The sequence below is a fragment of the Homo sapiens genome, chromosome 18, assembly GCF_000001405.40.
Source record: "Homo sapiens chromosome 18, GRCh38.p14 Primary Assembly".
NCBI lineage: Eukaryota > Metazoa > Chordata > Mammalia > Primates > Hominidae > Homo > Homo sapiens.
The window spans coordinates 45824312-45844109 of NC_000018.10; the positions used below are offsets into that span (position 1 = coordinate 45824312).

The 19798-nt window shown below is 53.5% G+C and overlaps 2 protein-coding genes across 6 annotated transcripts in view, besides 3 other annotated features; one reads left to right on the forward strand and one right to left on the reverse strand.

Annotated features, from left to right (window-relative positions):
* The window catches only part of EPG5 (ectopic P-granules 5 autophagy tethering factor), a 166749-nt gene that overhangs the window by 23731 nt on the left and 123220 nt on the right, over window positions 1-19798 (reverse strand). The gene's annotated exons all lie outside the window — the stretch shown is intronic.
* SIGLEC15 (sialic acid binding Ig like lectin 15) lies at window positions 1364-19783 on the forward strand. The gene is made up of 6 exons (NM_213602.3): window positions 1364-1469; window positions 12718-12777; window positions 13202-13585; window positions 14407-14784; window positions 15900-15930; window positions 17795-19783. Exons 1-6 carry the CDS (start codon window positions 1418-1420, stop codon window positions 17874-17876), a joined length of 987 nt encoding a protein of 328 aa, NP_998767.1. The 5' UTR covers window positions 1364-1417; the 3' UTR covers window positions 17877-19783.
* Window positions 3712-3891: an enhancer, noted in NCBI's record as "active region_13263". NCBI's record gives its function as "activates an Ori minimal core promoter by ATAC-STARR-seq in GM12878 lymphoblastoid cells {active_cell/tissue: GM12878}" and the evidence as "EXISTENCE:reporter gene assay evidence [ECO:0000049][PMID:35858748]".
* Window positions 4454-5152: an enhancer, noted in NCBI's record as "H3K27ac-H3K4me1 hESC enhancer chr18:43408730-43409428 (GRCh37/hg19 assembly coordinates)". NCBI's record gives its function as "activates a minimal SCP1, AML or CMV promoter by ChIP-STARR-seq in primed H9 embryonic stem cells {active_cell/tissue: H9 hESC(primed)}" and the evidence as "EXISTENCE:reporter gene assay evidence [ECO:0000049][PMID:30033119]".
* Window positions 14031-14532: an enhancer, noted in NCBI's record as "H3K27ac-H3K4me1 hESC enhancer chr18:43418307-43418808 (GRCh37/hg19 assembly coordinates)". NCBI's record gives its function as "activates a minimal SCP1, AML or CMV promoter by ChIP-STARR-seq in primed H9 embryonic stem cells {active_cell/tissue: H9 hESC(primed)}" and the evidence as "EXISTENCE:reporter gene assay evidence [ECO:0000049][PMID:30033119]".

A 19798-nucleotide genomic window follows, 5' to 3' on the forward strand; every position in this document is an offset into this window, starting at 1 on the left:
TTCTCCTGCCTCAGCCTCCCAAGTAGCTGAGACTACAGGCACCCACCACCACACCCAGCTAATATTTTGTATTTTTAGTAGAGACGGTGTTTCACCGTGTTAGCCAAGATGGTCTCGATCTCCTGACCTTGTGATCTGCCCGCCTCAGCCTCCCAACATGCTGGGATTACAGGCGTGACAGTTGGAACTTTAAGAAGAGAACAATGAAATGTCATGAAAGGGTTTTAAGCAGGGAAGAGAAATTATCAATTTCATTGTTTTCAAAAGTCGCTGTGCTTGCAGAGAGTGACCAAGAAGTTGAAGGAGTCCCATGAGAAGGGATACAGCCTGAGCCAAGGCACGGCCAAAGGGAGGAGGAGGAACAGAACACAGGACTGGCTGTGTGTGGTGAAGAGGAGGTGGTGTCAAGGGGGACTTGCACATTTCTAGCTCAGCTTTCCTAGAAGGATAATGCTGCCATCCACCGAATCATAGAACCTAGAAGCTGGGGGACAAGAGGAGGCAGAGAGAGTATGGTAACAGGCTCTGTGGGCCTGTTGAGGTGGAGAAGTCTGCAAGCTGCTGAAGAAACGGGTCTGGCTCTGGGGACTCGCAGCTGATTGGACATGAGGGTTAGAGAGACTAGGAAGACCCCCAAGTGCCAAGGGAAGGGGGCAGAAGGACAGGGAGGTGGCTAGCAGCAGGTGTCAGGTCACTGTCTAAGGGAGAAACTGCTCCACAGTTGGGTCAACTGCTCAAAGAGCAAACATCTGTGTATCTGCCCTCTGCATTCTTGACCAGGCCCAGAGACCCAACCTAAGCTTTGAGAAGGGAGGTAGGAAAGGAGGGAGGGAGGGAGGGAAGGAAGGGAGGGAGGGAGGGAGGAAGAGAGGGAGGGAGAGAGGGAGGAAGAGAGGGATAGAGGGAGGGAGAGAGGGAGGGAGGAATAAGGGAAGGAAAAAAGGGAGAGGAGAAGGGAGGATGGGATGGAAGAAGGGAGGGAGAAAGGGAGGAAGAGAGGAAGGAAGGAAAGGAAGGAGGGAGGGAGAGGAAGGAAGTGAGGGAGGGAGGAAGGAAGGGTGAGCCACATATAAACAGCATAAAGACAACAGTTTTCTGTGAGGGGATGGCAGCCACAGGAAATGGCCCTGTTTCTTTCTCACCCTCTTTCCTGTTTCCTGTCCTGGAAAATCATCCCAGTGATTCCCCTCTTGGTTTTCCACATGACTAAACTCCACGGGGCTTGAATGATCAGACCTCAGGCTGCCAGGCTTCCTGTCCCCAGTTCCTCCGGCTCCCGCAGAGCCCACAGGGACCTGCAGATCTGAGTGCCCTGCCCACCCCCGCCCGCCTTCCTTCCCCCACCACGCCTGGGAGGGCCCTCACTGGGGAGGTGGCCGAGAGCGGGTCTGGCCTGGGGTGTTCAGATGCTCACAGCATGGAAAAGTCCATCTGGCTGCTGGCCTGCTTGGCGTGGGTTCTCCCGACAGGTGAGTGTCTGCTACTCTCTCTGGCCCATGCTCGGGACAGAATAGATGCTGAAAGCATCTTAGGTACAGTCTCCCCTGGAAGGCAGGAAGCAGGTGTGCAGAGCCTCCAGGCCTGTGGAGGAGGAAGAGCTGCGCTTGGGGCCTGTGGTGCCAGAAGCCAGAAGTTCAAATCAGTGCTGTGTCTTGGATTTCAGGTGACTTGAGACAGGCACTCCATGTCTCTGGCTTCAGGGTGGCTGCCTATATAAAGGCTACTTGCCCCACCCATTGCTGCGAGCATCCAGAGGACAATAGGCCAGGTACAGAGAGGACATCACAGGCTCTGAACAAGCTTCTTGTGCTGCTGTCACCCAAGTGCCGTGTGTTTTGATGGGCACAGCCTGAGGAAGAAGGGCGGGGAGTGCATGGGCGTTTGGGGACAGTGCTGATGCATGGGAGGGGGTGATTTCATGTGGGGGATATAGTGAGGGATAGAGGCCCTCCCAGCAGGAATCCCAGTGGGTGAGTGGGAACACTGTGGCAGGTTTAAGCAACAATGTCATCAGTCACTTAGCTCGGTGACTTGGTATCCTGGGAACAGTGTTTCAAAAGGCACAGGGACCATCTGCATCAGAATCCCTGGGGTTAGGAGAGGGCATTTGCTAAAATGCAGGTTCTTTGGCTCCACCCCAGACCTGCAGAATCAGAGTATCAGGCAGCAAGTCCTAGGAATCTGCATTTTCACCACCTTCTTGGGTGATTCTGACACTCGATGCATTTGAGGGCACCTGGGATTAATGGCAAAGGCAATCCTCAGAGCACCTCTCTCCAGATCCCAGTCCTTACCCCATCCCCATCCTAGGACTCAGCATCCATGCCACTGTATGCTCGGCCATCACAGGCCACACACTGACATCATGGTGTCCTGAGCTGTTAGTCAACATTCCCTGTATGGGGTCCTGGCTCCATAACTGGATGATAAACTCCCACACCTTAGACCCCTTTGCCCTCCCATCTGGCGTGTACTCAGACTGGAGTCCAGCTCGGGGCTGGTTTGGGCAGTAACAGCAAACCTCTGCACAGCTGTCACCACATGCTGGGCACTTTAGTAACTCACATAAGGCTGAAAACCCTATGAGAAAGGAACTCTGTTTGTTTGTTTGTTTCTCTTTGGAGACAGAGTCCCACTCTGTCACCCAGGCTGGAGTGCAGTGGCGCAATCTCAGCTCACTGTAAACTCTGCCTCCCAAGTTCAAGTGATTCTTGTGCCTCAGCCTCCCAAGTAGCTGGGATTACAAGTGTGTGCCACCACGCCCAGCTAATTTTTTAAATTTTTAGTAGAGACAGAATTTTGCCACGTTGTCCAGCCTGGTCTCGAACTCCTGACCTCAAGTGATCAGCCCGCCTTGGCCTCCCAAAGTGCTGAGATTACAGGTGTGAGCCACCATGCCCGGCAGAGAAAGGAACTCTTCCCTATGAAACATTCTCTTTTCACAGATGAAGAACATGGGGCCCAGAGGGGCTCAACAAGTGGCAGGGGTGGAGCTGGGATTTGAACCCAGGTGTGTGGGGCTTTTGGCTGGGCCCCCCCACTACCCCACCCCACACAGCCATGGACCCTTGGTAGGCACTGACAGGGAAGGAGCTATCTTTTCCCAAGTTGACCTAACTTAGCCATCTTTCTGGGATGATTTAGGGTTGGGTCCCACTGAGACAGTGGCCAGACCCAAGTGGTCAATGGGAGAGGGGTTGAGGGTGTGGATGTTGGCAGCAGGGCAGGTCTGAAGCCCACCTCTGCTGTTTGCTGTTTACTGGCTGCATGGCCTTGGGCAGGCTGTCTACCTTTCTTGAGTCCCTGTAAACTGGGGTCCCTGCCACCTTGAAGAGGAGCTGGGGAGATTCATTAGACACTACATCAAAGGCCCCCAGCACAGCTCCTGGCCCTCAGTGGCCGCACGATAAATAATGGCCATGAAACCTTGCCAAAGTCACAGCGTTTCAAGAGAGCCGAGGCTTTGGGGATTTTAGGTTTAGGGTGATTTCTTTTTTTCTCTCCTGTTACGGGTCAGCTGCTATGAATCAGCAAGACACAAAGGATTTAGAGGAAGCATGGGCTGTGGAGTCACATGTTCAAAAACAAACGCCAAACCACACACCTTCTCTGTTGAGATTACTGAGTGCAGCCAAGCCACTCGCGTGAGCCGACTCAGCTGCAGAAAGTCATTTTCTTTACAAACAGCAGCTGCTTCACAGTTAGAACCAGGGTGGTCCAGGCCCCCACTTCCTGACGCTCTTCTGGCTGCTCTTCTTCTGGGAGCCTCTCCTCATGGCTCAGCCAGAAGACATCCAGGCCACGGCCTGGGCAGGAGGCCCGAGGAGCAGGCTCTGCTCCACCACCGTGTGTGCACCAGAGGCTCTGTGAGCAGACGCCTGTGCCAACGCAGGCCCGCCAGTCGTGGTCCCTTCCCTAGCCCAGAACAGCCCCTTGGTGAGAGAAAAGTGGGAAGCATTTGTCCCAGAAAGGCCCCTTCTACTTTCCATGTCCTCCCCTTCATGCAGGAGACCCCCATACTCGACACCCAGTGCCCAGCAGCCCCTAATCTCCCAGGGGCTCCCCACATAGCCTCCCAGGTCCTCCTCCATCTCCCCCCATATCTGCTTTTAGGAAGCTAGAGATGCCAGGGAACGTGGGGCAGGGGGAAGAACACTGGTCTGGGAGCTCCAACCACCCGAGTGACCTTGGACAAGGCCTCAGGTGGTCCTCAAGCCTGTGATAGGCAGATATCACAACCACAACCACTGTCATCTTCAGAACCCCTTGTGCCAGGCCTGTGACAAACAGTTCATTTACTCTTCAGCACAGCCTTGCAAGTGAGGCTCCTGGCCTCTGCAATGGGGATTTGGTGACTGCCGGGGCATCCAGCCTAAATGGGAAGCAGAGGCTTCTGAGTGTGCATCCACCTCTCCCGCACCCTCCTGCAGTGGGCAGGGAGCCTGGGCAAAGCCTGGTGTGGAGAGCTATTTACTTCGCTAGTTCTGAACTGCCGCAGAAAAACAAACCCAAATGGCAAGACAAATAGCAGCGGTCACCCAAAGATGCAGGGGTGCTTATTCGGGACACAGGCAAAGGTCAGGACCGGAGGACATGGGCTGGTGTCACAGCCCAGGAGGAAATGGGAGGGTTTAATGAGCCAGGGCACTTCTCTCCCAGTGGCTGTTGTGAGCAGTTTGCTTGAACTGAGGAAGTCCTATCTGGGGCGGGAAGGGGAGGAGTGAAGGGAGCAGGGATCACTATGGAGGCTGGGCAGGGGGTGGGGGCACCAGCAGAGACAGGCTACATCGGGACTCTGAAGAGCAGCACTCTGGGGTGGGCACAGGCCCCACAGCAGGGTCAGCCTGTGGCCCTGCCTCTCCATCAGCTCAGGTAAGCAGGGCCACACCCACGCCACAGTCAGCCTGCGGCAGAGGCATGGGTTAAAGGGGAAGCCAGATAACCCTGAAGCAGATAGAGACCAGCTGGCCTTTCACTCACTACTCACACCTCACCCCTTCCCGGGAACCTTCAGGGTCTGGTTTGTGCTGACAGTTGGAATTTCTGCTTCCTCTCCCTCCTCTGCTCTCTGATCTCCACCCCATTCTTGCCCTTTCTCTGCTGATAACCTATCTTGACAACTTGCAAGCCCAGAGAAAGATTTGCAGGGAGCAAACCAAGGGGCAGGAGGGGAAGGGCTGAGCTGCAATGAGCCTCAGCTCCACCCACATACCTACAGGTGAGGTCGACAGCCAATGGGAGTGTCTCTCCTTGCCCTCAAAATGCCCTCTCCTGGCCCTCCAGGTGTCACAATGCCGGAAGTGCCACCCCCGGAGCCACACTCCTGGAGCACCCTGTTAGCATGCCCAGGTGCCCTCAAGGAGGGTAGCCCCTCCCAGATTGTTGGGCTCCTCATACTGGCCACTCGTCAGCTGGTAATGTCAGCCATGTGGTGGTGGCAGGGGCACAAAAGATGCCTGAGGGACTCCAGCTCTGAGGGCCACAATGCTGTCCCTCCTGGAGGCGTGGTCTTCCTATGGTGACTGCCCACTTGGTTCCATCCTTCCCTTACCCCCTCAAAATCCGTGTCACATAAAGCCCACCCCAGCAGACCTAATTTTTGTTAAAGTGCCATTCTGTAAGGGCACCCCCTCTGGCCATTATTCCACCACGACTACCACGGGACTCACTTTCCTGTCTGTGACACCCTGGAGAGGGTCTTTAATTCCAGGCATTAGTAAAACATCCACAGAGAGCAAGTGACCCGTGCTCCGCCATGAAACCGACAAGCAGCTCAGCTTTCTCTCTAGTTAACAGAAGCGTGACTACGCCCACAGAAGATCTACACAGAGGTTCCCGTGCAAATTCCTGCTTTGCTTTTTTCCTTACCAAGGAACTGGTGGAGATTTTGGTCAGCTGTGGCAAAACCAAGGTTTCTGTTTCTGACCCTATCCAATTGCAGCTTCTGCTGGTGTAGGCTCCCCAGCTCTGTTTCTGTCTCCCTGGAGCTCTCTGCCTACCCTGGCAACACAGGTGTGGGGCTTTGGGAGAGTAGGTTCGGCATCAGTCAACTGCTCCCTAGTGGGATCATGATTGCAATGATGTGAGAGCTAATGCCCGATGCGGCAGCCCCAATCCTTCCTCCTTTAGATTGGTCACTGCAAGGAGGCATGAAGGGAGCTATGGGGGGAATTTCGCTATGAAAGACCATCAAGGCATGGATGCTACTTTCAGGTCAGTTTTCTGAATACCTAAAAGTCCTTTGATTTATTTTAGCTAGATATTTTTCTTTCTTTTTTTTTTTTTTTTTTTTGAGACGGAGTCTCGCTCTGTCACCCAGGCTGGAGTGCAGTGGCACCATCTCAGCTCACTGCAACCTCCGCCTCCCAGGTTCAAGCGAGTCTCCTGCCTCAGCCTCTCAAGTAGCTGGAACTACAGGCACCCACTGCCATGCCAGGCTAATTTTTTTTTTTTTTTTTTTGTATTTTTAGTAGAGACGGGGTTTCACCATATTGGCCAGGCTGGTCTTGAATTCCTGACCTTGTGATCTGCCCGCCTCAGCCTCCCAAAATGCTGGGATTACAGGCGTGAGCCACCGCGCTTGGCCAGCTAGACATTTTTCTAAAATGCTTTATGTGCTTTCTTGTCATTTTTATCCAAGTATCATTTTCAGACATAGATTTTTAGAATTTAATGTCACCTTAGTAAACATCTAGAGTTATCAACTCATGGATGAGACTACTGACGCCAGAGAGCTATGGCAACTTGCCCAATGTCCCAAAGTCAGCATCAGAGCTAGGGCTGGAGCCCCGGACAGACCCCTGACACCCACTCTGAGGGGCATGCCACCAAAGCAGAATGCCTCTTGCGGCAGTGAACCCCTCCATGGTGCCTCGGGCCGTCTCTGTGTCCACCTGCTACACTCGCCTGCTGCCGTGTTGTGATGGCTCAAAGCCTTCTGGGTTCACTCCTTCTCCAAATAGTCTCTTTGACACTGTACATTTATCATTTCTGCCTAAGCTGTCTTTCCACTATTTTTTACTAAAATTTGCCTCCCTCATTGAATGTCAACTCTCATTTCTTGCTGCTTTCCAAGAGTCTACAAACAGAAACCACATTCTAGCTTTTCAATTTTCATGTCCCTGGGCTGGGAAACTAACCAAATAAGTGTGTTAGAATTGTGCATAAATTAAAAAACAAATAGTGGCTGAGCAATGGCCAGACTGTCAACCTAACGAGGAGGCTATTAATTGCCACTGCAACTGTATCCCCAGCACCCAGCAGAGTCTCTAGCACATGGTAAACTCTCAATAAATACCTATTGAGTGAATACATGAATGAATAAATGAAGAAATTCCAGGTGAGTTAAGGACAAGGATTGGGCAATTATACTTCAGCTGGTCCAACATGCTAAATTGAGCTGCAAATGGTGTAGTGTCCAGGTACCAACATCTTTTTTTTTTTTTGGCGGAGTTTCACTCTTGTTGCCCAGGCTGGAGTACAGTGGGGCAATCTCGGCTCACTGCAGCCTCCGCCTCCCGGGTTCAAGCGGTTCTCCTGCCTCAGCCTCCTGAGTGGCTGGGATTATAGACGTGCACCACTGCGCCCAGCTAATTTTTGTGTTTTTAGTAGAGGCAGGGATTCACCACCAGGCTGGTCTTGAATTCCTGACCTCAGGTGATCCACCTGCCTCGGCCTCCCAAAGTGCTGGGATTACAGGCGTGAGCCGCCACGCCCGGCCCAACATCTTAACCCCCTGTGGCATCACCCTGAGCACTTTCCCACCACCCTCTGTTCACACTCCCTGTGCAGGACTAGTGAGGGAAGGGAACTAACACATATGGAGCATTTGCTGTGTGTGAGGCACTGTGTTCAGTGCTCTACATACGTGGTTTCATTCAATCCTCAATCCTATGTGGAAGGTACTATGTTCGCCATTTTGCAGCAGAGGACCCTGAGACCCGGGATATTATATAACTTGCCCAAAGATCACCCAGTAAGTGAAGGAGCCTAGGACGTGCCAGGCACAGATTGGGTGCTTGATAAAAGTCTGATGTTATATAACTTGCCCAAAGATCACCCAGTAAGTGAAGGAGCCTAGGACGTGCCAGGCACAGATTGGGTGCTTGATAAAAGTCTGATGTTATATAACTTGCCCAAAGATCACCCAGTAAGTGAAGGAGCCTAGGACGTGCCAGGCACAGATTGGGTGCTTGATAAAAGTCTGATGAAGAATGGCCAGAGGTGGAATTGCCACCTAGGTCCAGCTGTGCCAAAGCTAGCATGCTTCCCGCCATACCCTATGGCCCACCATTGAGGGAGGGTATTTTGGACAACAGGAAGAATGTGGGTCTCCTGATGACCCCTGAAGGTTGACAGAGATAAAGCAGAGAGATTAGAGACCCTACAGTAAGGGGCCATGATTCCAGTTCAGGAATCCTCCCTCCCCTGTCTTAGCAGACAGGCATAAGCTGCCAGAGGGAATTGTAAATGTCACAGGATGCTGGGGAGCTTGTATTCTAGCCAAAGCAAGCGCATTTTTTTCCCTGGGCAAATCCTGCTGAGTCTTTCCCACCCTCACCCTGAGTCCTCTGGGCAGCCTTATCCAAAGGTCTCTGTGTAAGCGGGAGTCCAAGTGCCCGCTTCTTTGAATCCCATTCAGCAGGTAAACAGGAAGCACAAATCTCTTCCTAATGGCAGCCAAGATCGTAACCCTTGGTGAAAGACCCTCTGTGTTCCCATTCTGCTCCTAGAGCAAAGCCCACCCAGGGAGGGAGGGGCCCAGACCTGCCATTTGCAGCACACTTCAGGACATTTTCAAAATTGGCTCTTGTCCTTGGGCACTGGAGCATACAGGTAAAGGTAAAAATCCTTTGAACAAAGGAGGCAAAACTACCCAGGGTTAAGCCTTGGCTCTGTGACTTCACCAAGTTGCTGTGGTTCTGCAAACCCCAGTTTCCCCTTCTCTAAGAGGGAGCTAATGATAGCACCTGATGGGGTTGTTGTGCATTTTACTTTTATTTATTTTATTATTATTATTATTTGAGGCAGAGTCTCGCTCTGTTGCCCAGGCTGGAGTACAGTGGTGCAGTCTCAGCTCACTGCAACCTCTGCCTCCTGGGCTCAAGCAATCTCATGCTTCAGCCTCCTGCATAGGGATTACAGGGGACCATCACCATGCCTCACTTATTTTTGTATTTTTAGTAGAGACGGGGTTTTACCATGTTAGCCAGGCTGGTCTGGAACTCCTGACCTCAACTGATCTGCCCACCTTGGCCTCCCAAAGTGCTGGAATTACAGGCATGAGCCACCACGCCCGGCCTCTTGTGCATTTTAAATGAGATGAGGATATCATTGAGAATTATATCCTGACGTACAGATTTAATGCAAACCAAGCAAATTCTCAAAAAGAGTTTACTGCTGTCATTATTGTTGCTGTTGCTGTTAGTTCATAAACTAAAATTTCTATAAAAGGGCAAAGACCAAGGTATAGATATATAGGACCGAATATGAGGGAAAAGGTGGGGAACCATCCAGATTCATTAGAGTGCTGTAGTAATGAAGCACATGACATGCTGTATTGATACAGAGGTGAACAAATTAACCAAGATAAGTAAAGGAAATATGGAAAAAAACCCATGAATCCATGGCAACATGACACATGACAGAGTATTGTTTTTAATGAGATGAGGACTCCGCAGAGCACTGTGTGCTCTGGCCTCATTACGCCTTCATGCCTGGCAACCTCTATGCTGATTGATGTCCACGCCTTGTGGCTTTGCTCTGCTGTTCCCTTTGCCTAGAATGCTACCTCAAGGCTTCGTGCAGTCCCCTCCCTTTCTCAAGGCTCTGCTGAAGTGACATCGCCTCTCTCAAGGGTTCTCCAATCCCTGCCTGCCTAATACACCCCTACTCTAACCACCCCTACCCTCTCCTGTCAGCCTGGACACCCACCCTTCTGTCCTCACATAGCAAATCAATCCAATGTCAGTGACTGAGAGGCAGGTACCATGCTGGGCAACAGCAACACAAATAGAACCAGATAGATGTGGTCCCTGCCCTGCCAGAGCTTCTGAGTGTCTGGACAAGACACACAGTTCAAAGGCAATGCTCATATTGAGGAAGTACCTATGCCAGCTCTGAGGCACAGGGGAGGGAGGCCAGCCCTAGGCTTGGGGCTCAGGGAAGCCCCCTGCTGTAGGAAAGACTCAGTGGAACCCTGAGGATGAAGAGGAGGAGCTGGTGAGTGACATGGCCAGAAGCCATATTCAGACAGAAGGGATATTGTTCATGCCCATCTTTACGGCATCTGGCAGACTGTAGTGTAATTATGTGCCTACAAATCTGTCTCCTTTTCTAAGCTGCAAGCCCCAGCAGGCTGATAAGATATCCTGTCCACCTTTGTCACCACAGCTCGTACCCCAGTGCCTGGCATAAAGTGGGGAAGTGTCCAATACATGTTTGCTGAATTGATGAATGCACGATAGCAAATAATATGTGGGGAATCTGTGCCTGGCTCTGTGATGCCTGCAAGATGCAAGAGGTCAGAGGAGGCTGAGGTCACAGAAAGTGAGAAATAGCAGGGAAACTAAGGCTGGGGCTCAACCTCAAGATTGGAGAGATGCTTTCTGCATCTAGAAGTACTGACTGAACCAGCCAATCCTTCAGACAGGGTTTCTCAAATTTGGAGCAAGGTTCTTTGATGATTAACTGAACAAACAAGCTCTTTCTAGAGATAAAATGTTAGGTCCTCCACTCGGGTTCAAAAATGTAATTACATTTGTCCAGAAAAAAAAAAGGAGATTAGGCTTAAAAGCAGGTTGTATGAAAAAAAGAACTTGTAGTTTTGAGGCAGGAGAATAGTAGAGGGAAGTGAAGGGGCAGGTGAACACAAAGCAAGAGAAGAAGCAGAAGTTGAGCAGCCAAAACAAAAGGGAGATAAGCAAGTAAGAGACCCCATGGCCGGCAAGATCCAGACCAGACCAGTAAAGGTAAGCTTCTCAGAGATGGGCATGTGCACTAGAGAGAAAAAGTATACTTAAAATGACCCTGTATGGTAATTAGCTATTTAAGGTTCATGCATATGGACTGCATCTCATGCATGTACTTAAAATTATGGGATGGAGGCAACGCACAAGCACACAAGGGCCAAAGTAACTAAGCAGTCTATCAATCAAAAGGCAGATGCTGGCTAGAGATTAGGCAGCTCAGGAAGAGAAGAGAAAAAATAAAAGGCCATGAAATGTAACAAACTGGTGCTGATCTCATTTCGTAGAGGTCAGTCACTCTCCCACTCCAAGGGTGTGATACTGTACTTCATACACTCTTGATGCTTTGCTTTGCTATTTCTGTCATGTCCAATTGTTTGTGGCACCAAGAACCTGGAACTGAACCATCCAGTAACACTTTTACCTGATGGCAAGCTGGGCATGAAACACAGTGGGATTTTTTCCAGGCACAGCTCCCACAGCCCAGGGCAGCACTGTGGGACTCACGGCACTGCAGGTCCAGCACACCTAGAGCACACACCTGGAGCCCCCAGGCTCAGGACACTACAATGAAGGAAGAGGACAGTGAGGATGAGGAAGGCCAGGAAAGGGACTGGGATTTTTCCACCAGAAAAGAGAAGGCTCAATGGGTCCAGGATAGTCATGACAAGACCCTGCACGGGGCCATCATGAGAAAGCGATGTGCACACACCAGAGAACAATGGCGGTCCTGTGGGCGGCCGGAGATTTTGGTTCTGTGCAGAAGGAATGTCCCGACCTGTGATTATTCATAGATGGATGGTCCCCATGGAGGATGGTCTGCCAGCGATGGGTTAGGGCTGAGAAGACTCCTGCCCAAGGAGCAAATTGGGCTAAATTACCTCAAAAAGCAAAGAGCACTGGGCTTGGGGTCAGAAAAGTCATATTTCTCCCATCTTCAACCTGTGTGACTCTGAGCCTTCATTTTCTCACCTTTAATAATATCTGCCCTGCCTGTCTCCACTGGGTGCTTTGAGGGTCACATGACATGGTATCTATGAAAGCACTGTGTAAACTGCAAAGCCCTTTGGAACTACAAGAGCTGCCGTATTATTTCCTCTAAAGATCCTTTTGTGAACTGCACCCTGGGGCACCGGCTGGGCAGGCTTAGAAGCCTGCCCTTTCTCCTTGGGAGGCACCACCCCTGGCCTTATCCTCTGAGGCGCGCTCCCCTCTCCCCCAAAGCAGCACACATAGGCAACCACACACACCCTGCAGTTCACCAGCCCTCTGTGAGCTGGAGGCAGAGCTCTGCTTCCAGACCCTGGCTCAACCACACATCCATGGTTCACAAGGTGGGGAATGGGGAAACTGTTCAGAGGTGCTTGCACAGAGCAAGGAGGCAGTGAAACAGCCCACCTCTCTGGTCTCTCAGCTCCCTCCCTGCCCAGGCACTAGGGAAGCCAGTCAGGGCACAGTTCACTTGGGTATACCTGAATTCTAGAGGAATCTCATGCACCAACTCAACGCATTAGCTTCCAAACACACTGCCCCCTCGCAGGGGCTGTTTCCTCTCTGTAAGTGGAAGTGCTGGTGTCCTCGGAGAAGCCCCAAAGTTCCCAGCCTCTAGTGCACTAGAATGCAGGCTGTAGAGTGAGGCGATCCTGAACGCTGGCTTGGCCTCATGCTGGCAGTGTGACTTCAGTTACTCAACTTCTCTGAGCCTCAGTTTATTCACGTGTAACCCGGGGTTAACTGTGTTTATCTGTAGGCTCATTTGTGAGAACTAAAATAGATACTACGGAGAACTTGCTCAACACAGAGGTGCACAGTAAGTGCTTTTATTATTATCACCATCTCGGGGATCTTGGGAGTCTGTTTTAACCACGAGATCCCAGGGTTTTTCCACAGGGCAGGTTTTGATGGGGAAAAACTAAGGGTAAGAATATGGGGTCAAGGGGCCTGCAGGTGAATTAGGAAACGAAGAGGGGAATAGTCCCAGGGAAGAGCCGCGGGAACGCAGGCACTCCCAAGTCGAGGGAGTGCAGGCCCTGGGGGTGCAGGCACCAGGAATTGCCCCTCAAGTCACAAGGTGGGGTTCCGGCTCCCCTGGAAGTGGGGGACGATCCCTGAGTCCTGGGGTTTCCAGGCTAGGGGTTGGGGGAGCGTTTCCTGGGTCGTGGGGTTTCCAGGCCCCGGGTGCGGGCGCCTCGACCCCAGGGCCCCGAGCCTGACGCAGCCCGCCCCGCCCTCAGGCTCGCCAGCGCAGCGCTGGTCCATGCAGGTGCCACCCGAGGTGAGCGCGGAGGCAGGCGACGCGGCAGTGCTGCCCTGCACCTTCACGCACCCGCACCGCCACTACGACGGGCCGCTGACGGCCATCTGGCGCGCGGGCGAGCCCTATGCGGGCCCGCAGGTGTTCCGCTGCGCTGCGGCGCGGGGCAGCGAGCTCTGCCAGACGGCGCTGAGCCTGCACGGCCGCTTCCGGCTGCTGGGCAACCCGCGCCGCAACGACCTCTCGCTGCGCGTCGAGCGCCTCGCCCTGGCTGACGACCGCCGCTACTTCTGCCGCGTCGAGTTCGCCGGCGACGTCCATGACCGCTACGAGAGCCGCCACGGCGTCCGGCTGCACGTGACAGGCGAGGCGGCGTGGGAGCGGGTCCCCGGCCTCCCTTCCCGCCCTCCCGCCTGCCCCGCCCCAAGGGCTACGTGGGTGCCAGGCGCTGTGCTGAGCCAGGAAGGGCAACGAGACCCAGCCCTCTCCTCTACCCCAGGGATCTCACACCTGGGGGTAGTTTAGGACCACCTGGGAGCTTGACACAAATGCAGAATCCAGGTCCCAGGAAGGGCTGAGGTGGGCCCGGGAATAGGCATTGCCGTGACTCTCGTAGAGTGACTGTCCCCAGTGGCTCTCAGACGAAGAGGCGAGAAAGACAAGTGAATGGCAATCCTAAATATGCCAAGAGGTGCAATGTGGTGTGTGCTACCAGCCCGGAAAGACACTCGCAGCCCCTCTACCCAGGGGTGCACAGACAGCCCACCAAGTAGTGCCTAGCACTTTGCCAGACCCTGATATACAAAGATGCCTGAACCAGGGTCCCGTCCCTAGAGCAGTGGCTCTCCACTCTAGCCCCCACCCTGCTCTGCGACAATAATGGCCACTTAGCATTTGCTAGGGAGCCGGGACCTAGTCCAAGCACCCACAAGCATGAATTTGCCAAATCTTTTCAGCAACCTCTTAAGGCAACTGCTATCATGATCCTCACTTTACACATGGAGAAGCAGAAGCAGAGATGATAGAATCTTTCGCCCAAGGCCACATCTGTATTGGGACGGGGGCAGCCTGGCACCCAAGTGCCCATTCCTCCCTTCTGACCAGCCCCCACCCCTCCGGCTCTGGCGTCCAAAGGGCTAAGGGGAGGGGTGCCCTTGTGACAGTCACCCGCCTTCTCCCCTGCAGCCGCGCCGCGGATCGTCAACATCTCGGTGCTGCCCAGTCCGGCTCACGCCTTCCGCGCGCTCTGCACTGCCGAAGGGGAGCCGCCGCCCGCCCTCGCCTGGTCCGGCCCGGCCCTGGGCAACAGCTTGGCAGCCGTGCGGAGCCCGCGTGAGGGTCACGGCCACCTAGTGACCGCCGAACTGCCCGCACTGACCCATGACGGCCGCTACACGTGTACGGCCGCCAACAGCCTGGGCCGCTCCGAGGCCAGCGTCTACCTGTTCCGCTTCCATGGCGCCAGCGGGGCCTCGACGGTCGCCCTCCTGCTCGGCGCTCTCGGCTTCAAGGCGCTGCTGCTGCTCGGGGTCCTGGCCGCCCGCGCTGCCCGCCGCCGCCCAGGTGGGTGCGCCCCAGACACGGGTGGCCGCGAGGGGCCGGGCCGGGGCTCTCTGCTCTTAGATAAGACCACCTGGCTGACCCCCTGGCACTGCCAGAATGTCGGTTTTTTTGCCCTATGCATCGTGGCGCTTTCCTCTCTTTGCATGAAGCCCAGCAGGTGTAACCAGCACGAAAAAATCCCATTTTGCAATAAGGAAGCTGAGGCTCAGAGAGGTTAAGTAACCTGCCTTTTGATAGCAGCACAGAGATATAGAGACCCAGACCCGGTTAACTCTAGAGCCGTCCCTTTGCTACCACCCGGTAAACGATTCCTCTGGAGGGGCTCTGACTACAGACCTTCCTAAATAGCACCGTTCCTGAGGACCTACTATGTGCTGTGTGGGTGCTAGGAATACACTGATGAATATGGCATGGTCCCCTGCCCTGCAGTGCGTGCTGAGCGGTAGACAGATCATTGCAATGTGCTATGAGAAGGGCTCTCCTCAACCCTACCTCTGCAGAAGCCAGAGGAAGGTATGCCTCCCTCTGGTGGGGCATCTGGAGAAGGCTTCACACAAGCCGTGCTGGGAGAGCTAAATAAAAATATGTAAGTAGGCATGAGCTAGGAAAACAAGGAGAAACGCTCTTCCTAGCAGAGATCATGGTGGATTGACTAACAGGGTGTCCTGAGATTGCCACTCCTGCTGTCTCTGATCTGGATCAGAAATCTGCCCTGTGCCCCAGAGAGGGAGGGAGCTTCTTGGAGCCCCTCAGAACCCCCAGGTCCATAGCACTAGGCTCACACTCTAGTGAGATCAGACTTTGTCACAGTGGCCCTGGCTGCTGCTGTGGCCACAATGGCTTTCTTGCCCGTTTCTTGGAACTCATCAAGTGTTTTGTGCTCAGGGTGCTCAGAAGAACGGACTTTTTACTGGATTGCTCCTCAGTCCACCCCTCTCCTCACTAACTCCCCAGCAGGGTTCCATGGCACAGCTTCACACCCTGCTAGTCTGCTGTTTGCTTCAAAAACAGTGGTTTCCTCGAGACCCCTTCCACATGGCATGGGTGGGGGTGGGCGCACAGGCTGCAGACTGCGGTGGAGATTCATGCCTGCTCTCTTGCTGTCCCTCCCACAGAGCATCTGGACACCCCGGACACCCCACCACGGTAAGTGAGCTCCCCGCCTCCACCCTACCCTACCCCACCCACCTAGTCCTCATCACCCAGGGGGTCCAGGCAGGAGAAGGAATAAATGGCAAAGGGCTGGGGCTGGGGTCCTACTTTGACCAGGGGCTGGGCCTTCCTTGCAGCCCACCAAGGCACCCCTCTTGCAGCCTGCCAAGGTCTTCCCTGGACAGACCAAGCCTCGCTGACCTGCTCCTCCCCCACGACTCCAGGCTGTGTTTCTTCCTGTAGTTTCCCCTCCACATTCTTGAACAGGCAGATTCATACAAAAACCACATTGGGGACACTCATCCCCGTTCCCCCCTGGCACTCTGCTGAAGGCTTTGCAAACAAAATCTCTAGAGGTTCTGAGAGCCTAGGTGAGGGGCCCAGAGACCCCTAGGAAATCACTGACTCCTGGGTCATACTCTCCTCTTCTGTGGCATCCACCCATGTGAAGGCTGGTGTTGAAGGAGAAAGAACTCAATTCATAGACCCTGTACAGGCTGGGCCTGATCCTGGCAGAGGGTAGGAGTGGGAGGAGGAGCCTAGGCACTCCCATAACTCCACCCACCTGTGCCCTGAAGGCTGGAGGTGCCACACTGCTGGTGGCCCCACTCATCAGCTGCCTGCCGATCTCTCCACAGTCCCACAACCTGTCCTGTGTCCCTGTTTGCTGATTTACTGTCGCACCAACGCCCCTGAATCTGAAAGCCGACCGTTGTTCAGTCATTTAACAAATACTTATTGAGTACCTACTGCATACCAGGCACTGGTACTAAAGACACAGCAAGATCCCTGACCTCACAGAACTCATATCCTATTGTGGAGAATTTTAATAAATATGGAAACACGCCACCTGACATCGTAAAGTAAGAGCTGTGAAGGAAATGGACACGTGATGCAGCAGATTCCCTGGGGAGGGGGCCCGCTGCTGGGCTGAGGCTGCTTTAGATCAAGTTCTCTTGGAGGACATGACATTGAGGGGACCTGAGGATGGAGGCTGGGGCCTGGGCAGGTAGGAGCGGTGGAGTTCCAGAGAGCAAGCCCCACTAGAGTGTGGACGTAAGACAGGGACAGTAGGGGCAGCCCGGGAGAGGAAAAGGCAAGTAGAAAGACTCAGGTGAGGCCCAGAAAGGAGGCAGGCATTTCTGGAGGGTGGACGGGAGGAAGGCAGGAAAGGCGTGGGGGTTATTGTGGGTGCAATGGGAAGTCACTGAATGGTTTTAAGCGGACGCATGGCTCCATCAGAACAAGCTGGCCCAGGAGACTTGGTTGCAGGCCGTTGGCAAGGCTGAGGCTGGCTTGGCTGTTTGGACAAAGGTGCAGGGGTGGCGGTGGGGAAGTGGGTAGACGGGAGGCAGGGCTTGCCCAAGAGCCCAGTGGGCAGCACACAGTGTGAGAGGGAGCCAGGCTGCCGGGGTTGGGAGCCTGAGCCCTGGGTCCCACTTCCTGAGATAAAGACAAGAGGAGAAGAGAGTGGGGCGGGTGTGAGGGTCATGCGTAGCACAGTGGACATTGAGATTTGAGATTCCCACTGAGATGTCCTAGGGGAAGTCAGGAAAGCAGTTGGGGACCAGGAGGCCAGGCCGGAGATTCCGATTTGTAGGTCAGGGACATGGAGCCAGTCTTGAGGCCTCAGACAGAGATAGCAACTCTATGGTCTGGGCTGCCCTGGCCTTTGGGGGCCCCTCCCTATTCCTGACTCTGCCCAGCCTCCGATGCCATTCATCTCTGAGCCCTGCCGGTTCCAGCCGCACTGCTCCCCAGAATGTCTCCTCTTCTTGGCCCACTGCTGGCATATAGTTTGGGCAGTTGTGGACCTCCCACCTGTTTGGATGATCATTCAACTTTCTCCTGTCCACAGGTCCCAGGCCCAGGAGTCCAATTATGAAAATTTGAGCCAGATGAACCCCCGGAGCCCACCAGCCACCATGTGCTCACCGTGAGGAGTCCCTCAGCCACCAACATCCATTTCAGCACTGTAAAGAACAAAGGCCAGTGCGAGGCTTGGCTGGCACAGCCAGTCCTGGTTCTCGGGCACCTTGGCAGCCCCCAGCTGGGTGGCTCCTCCCCTGCTCAAGGTCAAGACCCTGCTCAAGGAGGCTCATCTGGCCTCCTATGTGGACAACCATTTCGGAGCTCCCTGATATTTTTGCCAGCATTTCGTAAATGTGCATACGTCTGTGTGTGTGTGTGTGTGTGAGAGAGAGAGAGAGAGAGTACACGCATTAGCTTGAGCGTGAAACTTCCAGAAATGTTCCCTTGCCCTTTCTTACCTAGAACACCTGCTATAGTAAAGCAGACAGGAAACTGTTTACAGGGCCTGGAGGCCCAGTCTTGTCCTCCTCTGTCACCGACTTGCTGTGTGGACCTGGGACACTCTCTTCACTTCTCTGGGTCTCAATTCATTTACTGTTGAACACGGACAATCATATTCTTCCCTCCTGGCTGGGAGGACTACAAAGATCTGAGGAAATAATGGATATGAAGGGGCTTTGGAAAGTACAAAGCCATCTTCTCATGAGGGGCATGACAGAACCCTCTTTGCAGAGTGACCTTTGGACGTGCAGTCAGTTCTTGGAGAAGTGTGGCCCCTGCAGCAGTGTCACGGAGAACACAGAGTTCCAGAGAGCAAGCCTGGGGCAGGGGCTGTGCAAACGTGTGGTCAGAGGAACATCAAATCCTGGAAACTTGGTGGCAGGGAGAGGCCTGGGGCCTTTACCCCATGCCCCCTGGGATCTCCACTGTGACTGTCCCACACCCTCTGCCCAACTCTTGCCCCATCAGCTGCCCTGCATTGCCTTGAGCTGGGACCCCTAGGAAATGGAAACCAGGCTCCCCTCTCTCAAGGTATCTGGGAACCACTGTCTCAGGAGCTGAAGCCGGGAGACCTGAGGGGAGGTCTGGCCGGAGAGTCCGTGCGTAAAGCAGCTACAGCTCTGACCTCTCTGACCTGCAGCCTCTCAGGGCGTGCGAAGTCCAAACGCACTGGCAACTTCACCCCCTTTGCCCTAACGCGGGCAGGCTGACTTGGAGGGGTGCTTCCCTATTTACACCTCAGGGTGAATTTGTTGATCACCTTAGCTCCTGTGGTCCTTGGGGCTTAGGGAGAGGAGGGAGGCATGCCTGGGTCCCAGGTAAGCTGGCAAGAGGAAAGGGCCACAGGCTAGGGGAATAACGAGGCCATGAACAAGACATCTCACCCCAGTTACAATGGCTTTTATCCAAAAGACAGGCAATGACAAATGCTGATGAGAAAGTGGAGAAAGAGGAATCCCCATATACTATTGGTGGGAATGTAAATTAGTATAGCCACTATGGAGAACAGTACAGTTTCCTCAAAAAACTAAAAATAGGCTGGGCGTGGTGGCTCATGCCTGTAATCCCAGCACCCTGGGAGGCCGAGGCAGGTGGATCACTTGAGGTCAGGAGTTCGAGACCAGCCTAGCTAACATGGTAAAACTCTGTCTCTACTAAAAATACAAAAATTAGCTGGGCGTGCTGGCACGTGCCTATAGTCCCAGCAACTTGGGAGGCTGAGGCAGAAGTATTGCTTGAACCCAGGAGGCAGAGGTTGCAGTGAGCTGAGATCACCCCACTGTCCTCCAGCCTGGGCAACAGAGAGACTGTCTCCAAAGAAAAAAAAAGAAATAGAACTACCATATGATCCAGTAATCCCACTGCTGGGTATCTGTCAGCAAGGAAATCAGTATATTGAAAAGATACCAGTACTCCCATGTTTACTGCAGCACTATTTGCAATAGCCAAGATATGGAATCAGCCTAAGTGTCCATCCACGAATGAATGAAGAAAATGAACACACAATGAAATATTCAGCCATAAAAAAAAAAAATGAAATCCTGTCGCT